General features: G+C 34.8%; 1 protein-coding gene across 8 annotated transcripts in view; it reads left to right on the forward strand.

The window, feature by feature from the left end:
- Positions 1–6692, forward strand: part of CEPT1 (choline/ethanolamine phosphotransferase 1) — a 45606-nt gene extending 38914 nt beyond the window's left edge. For all 8 annotated transcript variants that reach the window (NR_138485.2, NR_138483.2, NR_138484.2 and 5 more), the window contains 4 exons: positions 3775–3906; positions 4387–4545; positions 5050–5175; positions 5779–6692. Coding sequence is in view for 5 of the 8 variants with exons in the window: in NM_001410844.1 (NP_001397773.1) it covers positions 3775–3906; positions 4387–4545; positions 5050–5175; positions 5779–5898 (537 nt within the window). In the remaining 3 variants the exon portion in view is untranslated. The remainder of the gene's footprint in view (positions 1–3774; positions 3907–4386; positions 4546–5049; positions 5176–5778) is intronic.
- Positions 6693–6988: the final 296 nt, after the last annotated feature.

A 6988-nucleotide genomic window follows, 5' to 3' on the forward strand; every position in this document is an offset into this window, starting at 1 on the left:
AGATGAATTTTTACCAAAGATTATAGTTATTGTTGTTGTTGTGGTTTTCCTTTTTTTTTTTTCCAAAGGAAAGCAGTTGTCTTCATGCATAAAAGTCAGTGCTTGTTTTATACATTGCAAGAAACAAAAAGCATATTTTTTGTTTGTTGCTTCCCCAAAAGACATTCCTTTTAGAATGCCTTGGAACTATGTTCTATCATATCACTCTTTAAAAAAAACAAAGAAGAATATATTCTTATTTGGAAGAGACTTAATATAATCAACTCATGGTTACTTTTACTGATGCTTGAGTCTTTTAAATGTAGTAATTGATCAAATTGTATTAAGCCATAAGGGACTTTCTGGAATTCAGTTAAGGCAACTAGGTGAGTGTTACTACTGCAGGTGAGGTTTCAGGATTCATTTGGTCAGACTGAAGACGTTCTATGTAGTATAAATTGATTATATCTCATTCTTGAACTACAAGACTTTAAAATGCCTTTACACTTAAATAATTCTGATAGGGTGATTTTCCTTTGTAGACACTGTAATTATGTTAACATTTGCTGTATTTTGGTGGAATTCATTTACATTAAAATGATTTACAAACAGGCATTCCCACATTCTTTGGAGGAAAGTGTCTAATCTCAAAATGGTACTTTTTATTTCTGCTCTGATGTACAAAGCCTGTAAGGACATTTTATCATGCTTATAAGAAAACTAGTCAAAATTTACTAACTGATATTAGTCTGCATTAATACAAACTATTGAACCAAAAAACATGACCTTTGTAATCTGGTAAAGATACTGATAATTTAAGATTTTCTTTTTCTATGTCTAACCTTTTTAAAAGTGAATTTCATTACATTGTTATTATTTGGATGCATACCTTCATGGTATGAGTCTGGAGAGTTTTCACCTGGCTGTAGGACAGACACCATGGTCCAAAGGAATTCTTACTCTTCCCAACTCTTAAAGACTTGAAACTTCAAGCAGACCTGACATAAAGATGTCTTTGGTATAGCTCTTTGGCTATTTCTAAAGAGTGGATGCACTTTGGCCACCTTTGATAAGTTCCAAGATGATGACAGAAAGAAAAAGATTGGGAAAGACAGAATGTGCCTGTTCTTTTTGACTTGAGGGAGAGAGAGAATGTGCCACCCTCCTTGATCTTAAGCGTGGGGTGAGAATGGCAACACTTTGTGTTTTTTATAAGTAGTGCCAATTTTTAAAGGATCACCTGGTGAGACTTGGGATTCCTTTGACTCGAGCTTTTCCTTCACTTTGCCTCATATTTTCTTGGTAGCTCACTTTCTTTTTCATTGCTAATGTGGGGGCTAGATGTTTCTTCATACTCTCCCAAAACAGGAGTTCTACATAGAAAGGAAGAGAAAGGGAGATTTTAATCTTCATTTAACAAATGTGTATTGAGCCACCTACAATAACCAGGGCTCTAGAGAGTGTACAAAATCAATTCAAACAAAATCCAACACTCAGGAGCTTATGTTTTGGTGTATATAGCTAACATATATGACAAAAGTGATGAAAACCTTAAGAATCTATGATACTTTGCGCCTAGGTCAATAGCTTGCTTCCTTACTTTGTGGTCCAAGCCATGTACTAATTTTCCTGGCTTTTCTAATGTTTGTGTTTATTCTTCTTTCAAAGGGCAACAATTTTTATGATCCCAAAGCAATTTCACCAAATTTTAAATACAGTTATGACTCTCATTCAGTTCATTTATGACACAGATGACTATTATACAGAGATGGTACTCATTTAGTACCCTGGCCCTAATACAGGGCTGTCCCTGTAATAGAATAATGCTTTGCTTCTTTTGGAATCTGAGGGAAGTATAGTATTTTCCCTTTTGCCAGAGAGATCTTTTGTCTCTATGGAGTCAAAAGTGGGAGGGGTGGGAAGAGAGGTTGGGAACCAGGAAACTAGCCACAGTATTGAGTTTCAGCCAGGTGCATCAGATTGAGAATGTAATGTCCCTAGTTTATTGAACAAGAGCAGAAAAATCTCTTGGAGTTCAAAGCAACCATGGTGTTGATTTTCTCCTTTCTTGAAAACAAGTTTTGAACTTAGACTGTAGAGGTTGGAGATTTAGGGGGAGAAGATAACCATTTAGGATAATCCATAAAGTTTAGGACTTGACTTAGTTGACCTAGTTAATTTTAGAACTAGGTTGACCTAGTTAATTTTAGAAAATTTAACACTGCTACAGTACAATTTAAACTTGAACATTTGATTTCAATTTTTTTTAGAGCTGCATTTTTGCAAGAGGTAACAGAGTTATCTCAACAAAGTGAGTTCTTGAGAGTTTTGAAGAAATAAAGTATCCAACCATTAAGATTTATGTCTTCCAGTCTTAACTGAGGTTTTCTATATAGTAGGAAGTGCCACATTTGCTATTTGATTTTAAAAGTGTAGATAGATGTTAGCCATACAAAGTGTAAACAGCCCTAATTAAAATGCTTTCATTGTGACCGGGCATGGTGGCTCACACCTGTAATCCCAGCACTTTGGGAGGCTGAGGCTGGCAGATCACTTGACGTCAAGAGTTCGAGACCAGCCCGGCCAACATGGTGAAACCCCATCTCTACTAAAAATACAAAAATTAGCTGGGCGCAGTGGCACATGCCTGTAATCCCAGCTACTCAAAAGGCTGAGGCAGTAGAATCACTTCAACCCGGGAAGCGGGGGTTGCAGTAAACCAGGATCACACCGCTGTACTCCAGCCTGGGTGACAGAGCAAGACTCTGTCTCAATTAAAAAAAAAATTTTTTTTTTCATTGTAAGAACTCATGGCTTATTAAACCACTGGGGGCTTTTGGAATCTTGTTTCTATAATCATTTGTTTCTATTACTAGACTACGTCATTTATTTTACTGTTGCTTTCTTTTCAATCCATATTGGACAAAATTTGAGACCAAAATTTAAAGGGAGGGGTGCGAAAAAGAAGAGACTCTTAAATGATTTTTAAAATTCAGTACAAGTGTATTTCATTTTAAATGATAGATATTGTGTTTGCAAAAATGCATGACATCAATCCACTCTGTCCCCCATACTTCAGGTAAATAAACACATTTTCAGTATACTTTATGAATATATTATTCACTTTTCTGAAAAGTACATTTAAACTTCAAAATTTTGTATGCACAATAGTAGAATCTGTTTGAATGTACTTGACCTGTTTTTTCTTCTGCATTGTGAATGCCTTCTTAATTGCCTTCTGCTTTTACTAGCTGCCTGTATCCTAACAATTTGGAGTTGGGAACTCTTCTGAATAGAAATTTTATCTTCCATTCTCTATACTCTGCAGATTTTTATATCTAGTCGCAACATTTCTATTATGATTCATACTTCCTCACAACAATTATGAATGTTCTACAGATTTAGAGGTAGAATTCAAAAACATATACAAGGAAAAAGGCAGGGTGCACTCCTTTTATTAAAAGGCCAGAACACATCCTGGTTCACTGTTGCAAGACCACTGGGATGCATTAGGTGAATCTAACTTAGCTTGTGACACAAGTTAATAAAGTTGAATCTGGTTTTTTTGTTTTTTTTAAGGTTGATGGCTGAAGTGAGATTAATTTCTAAATAGTCTCAACTCTTGAGACTTGCTATATTGCTTATAATGAAGAGGAAAAGGACACTTTCATTACTTTACGTATTTATGTAATTGGAGGGAATGGAAAGTTTTTGGGAATATGAATCAAATATTAGACTGTTTTCTTATTTTAGTTTGTATATGTTTTAATTGTTTTCTCTCTCTACCCATTAAAGATTCCAGTGCTGAATATTCAAATGAAAATTTTTCCTGCACTTTGTACTGTAGCAGGGACCATATTTTCCTGTACAAATTACTTCCGTGTAATCTTCACAGGTGGTGTTGGCAAAAATGGATCAACAATAGCAGTAAGTATACCTTAAGATTTTCAACACTTGTTTACACTAGGACTTGGTTTTGTTGTCATTTTGTTTTTTATTTCAAATGTATAAAATCATTTGTTAATTTATAATTTATACTTAGCCTTTAAAGAAACTAATGTTCAAAACTTCAATTTTATATATACTTACCCACATTTATATGCTTTATATATTCATACTTTTATGCATACACACACACAAACACACTTATTCACATGTTTTTTAAAGTATGAGCTGCTTTGTAAAAATAAGCCTGGTCTCTTAAGTGAAATCCTCAGTTTGTGCCTAATGAATTTATGCTGCTACTTTTCATTAGCTCTTCTAGTTTGTGATTTATAGAAATTGCTGCCTATCAGGCACCATGAGGTTCCTGAAAGTTTGAGTTGAACTGTGAACTGTTCTGCAGCAGATCCATGTAGTATCTGATGAGTACTGAATACTATTAACTCTTCTCTTCACTCTGTACAGGGAACAAGTGTCCTTTCTCCTTTTCTCCATATTGGATCAGTGATTACATTAGCTGCAATGATCTACAAGAAATCTGCAGTTCAGCTTTTTGAAAAGCATCCCTGTCTTTATATACTGACATTTGGTTTTGTGTCTGCTAAAATCACTAATAAGCTTGTGGTAAGCACCTGAGTTTTTATTTGCTGTGTTTTTCACTTTCATCTTATTTTGGATTTATGGCTATAGTTCTCATTCTGTAGCTTCATAAATGGTCCTAGAGTTTGCCCTCTTCTAATCAGAATCTCTTGATATCAACATGGGAACTATTTTTACTCTTTTGTGAAGCTACAATTTGAAGTTACTGGAAGTTCTTGGAAAACATACAACTTTTTACCCTTTTATCCACTGTTTAATTTGGTTATTCAGTTTATTTACATTCTCAGTCTCAATCTGGACACTCAAATTAAGGCTTCTTGTGAAAAGCATCTTTTGTAGGGTTAGTTGACATGATACATCCCTTTCTTTCTCAGACGCATTTCATATTGTTGGGTTTTTAGTTTTGGGAATTCAACAGCTATTCCTAAATAATTATTGGAAGTTGATATCTGAGCACAATATGATTTACTGTGTAGTTCACAATTGTCCTCTTATGAAAATGCCTACGTTATTCTGTTTTATTCATAGGTTGCACACATGACGAAAAGTGAAATGCATTTGCATGACACAGCATTCATAGGTCCGGCACTTTTGTTTCTGGACCAGTATTTTAACAGCTTTATTGATGAATATATTGTACTTTGGATTGCCCTGGTAAGTATTGTACTAAGTCTTATTTCATGGTTTGAGGGTTTGAAGGTTGCTTGTTTTCTTATTTTGATGACCCAGTCATGAAAGATCGTTCATATAATTGTAATGATTTGGAATGTCAGAAATCCACATAAATGGGGCTGTGTGAGAGTTCTATGGCTTTATATTTGAGCCTTTTATTTTTTGCATTAATCTTACTAGTCCTGCCTACATCGGGCAGGGCTCATAAATTGCAAATTTCTGACTGAGTAGAAAAGCATGAATCAGCATACTACACCCTGTGGGCCCATAGCCTGTTTTGGTAAATACAGTTTTATTGGAACACAGCTATGGCCACTCATTTATATATTGTCTGTGGCTGGTTTCATGGTACAATGGCAGAGTTAAGCAACTGTGACAAAGACAATAAGGCCCATAAAGCTTAAAATATTTGCCATCTGTCTCTCTAACAAAGAGTTTGTATGTGAAGGAAAGATTGCAAGGAAATTGAATTATTTTATGGAATGGAAGGTGAATCTGTAGAGAGAACAGAGTCCAGTCCTCTTTACTTTCAGGAAGCTTAGGGAGAGCCTAAACGGGTGCTGAGAATGTCTCTTTTCTTTCCAGGTTTTCTCTTTCTTTGATTTGATCCGCTACTGTGTCAGTGTTTGCAATCAGATTGCGTCTCACCTGCACATACATGTCTTCAGAATCAAGGTCTCTACAGCTCATTCTAATCATCATTAATGATGTAATTGGTATATAGGAACATCATGTTTTCTGCAGGAAAGAAAGTAACATATTAAGGAGAATGGGGGTGGATAAGAACAAATATAATTTATAATAATCAATGTTGTATAACTTTTATTCTTTATTATTGGTAACACGCCCTAACTATCCTGTGTGAGAATGGGAATTTCAAGTCCCATCTTGTAAATTGTATATGTTGTCATGCAGGGTTTGGGCCAAGAAAGCATGCAGAAAAAAATGCCATGTGATTGTAATTATCCTGGATTCAGAATAATACTGTGATGGGGAGCCAGATCCGCAGTGGTGGAGAGTTCTAATGTTGACTGTTTGCAGGCCAAAAGATGATTGCTTTATAATTTTAACAAATCATTGTCTTTTAGTAACATCCTTGTTTAGTGTCTTCTCAAGCTTTCTTTACTGAGGAATTCAGCTTGTGACACAGATACATCCCACTAGCTTGTGAGGTGGAACTAGTAATAAAGACCTTGAATTTGGATTGAAAAGTTTCCTATCTTTACATTGTTGAGGAAGTCCTTTTTTTTTTTTTTTTTTTTTTAATTGCTCAAGAAATGATTCTCTCACAGGCTTGGGAAATCCTGTTAGCATGCAGAATAATGTGGTAACTTTGTCAATTTCCCATTTTATTTTTTTAAATAAATATATGATCTAAAAGCCAACTTTTTCTCAGTTTTACTCAGTGGAAAGATAAACTAAGTTTTAATGTTATTTTTTTAAATTTAAGCAAAATTTATTTCTGTTCTTTAATAAATAAGAAAATGTGGTCCACTGCATTGTTGTGATGTGTCTTGTGACATTTCTATTTTGTAGAAACTTTAAAAAGGAGAACTATGTTCATTTTTCCTGTCAATGGTTTTTTTGTGTTGTAGTTGTCACCTGTGTGATTATCAATCATTTAGAAATCTCATACCCTTCCCCTAAATTTTCAGCAAGTGCCTGGGCCTCTCTAAGAGGTCACTTTGTACTCTCCTTTTCTGGCAGTCTCCTCTTTGGTATCTGTACTATCGTTTGAAATGGGAACCAGATATGTTTCCATTTTATACAGATAATTCAGTTGCTTGAAGAAGAG

The sequence above is a fragment of the Homo sapiens genome, chromosome 1 (assembly GCF_000001405.40).
Source record: "Homo sapiens chromosome 1, GRCh38.p14 Primary Assembly".
NCBI classification, from domain to species: Eukaryota; Metazoa; Chordata; class Mammalia; order Primates; family Hominidae; genus Homo; species Homo sapiens.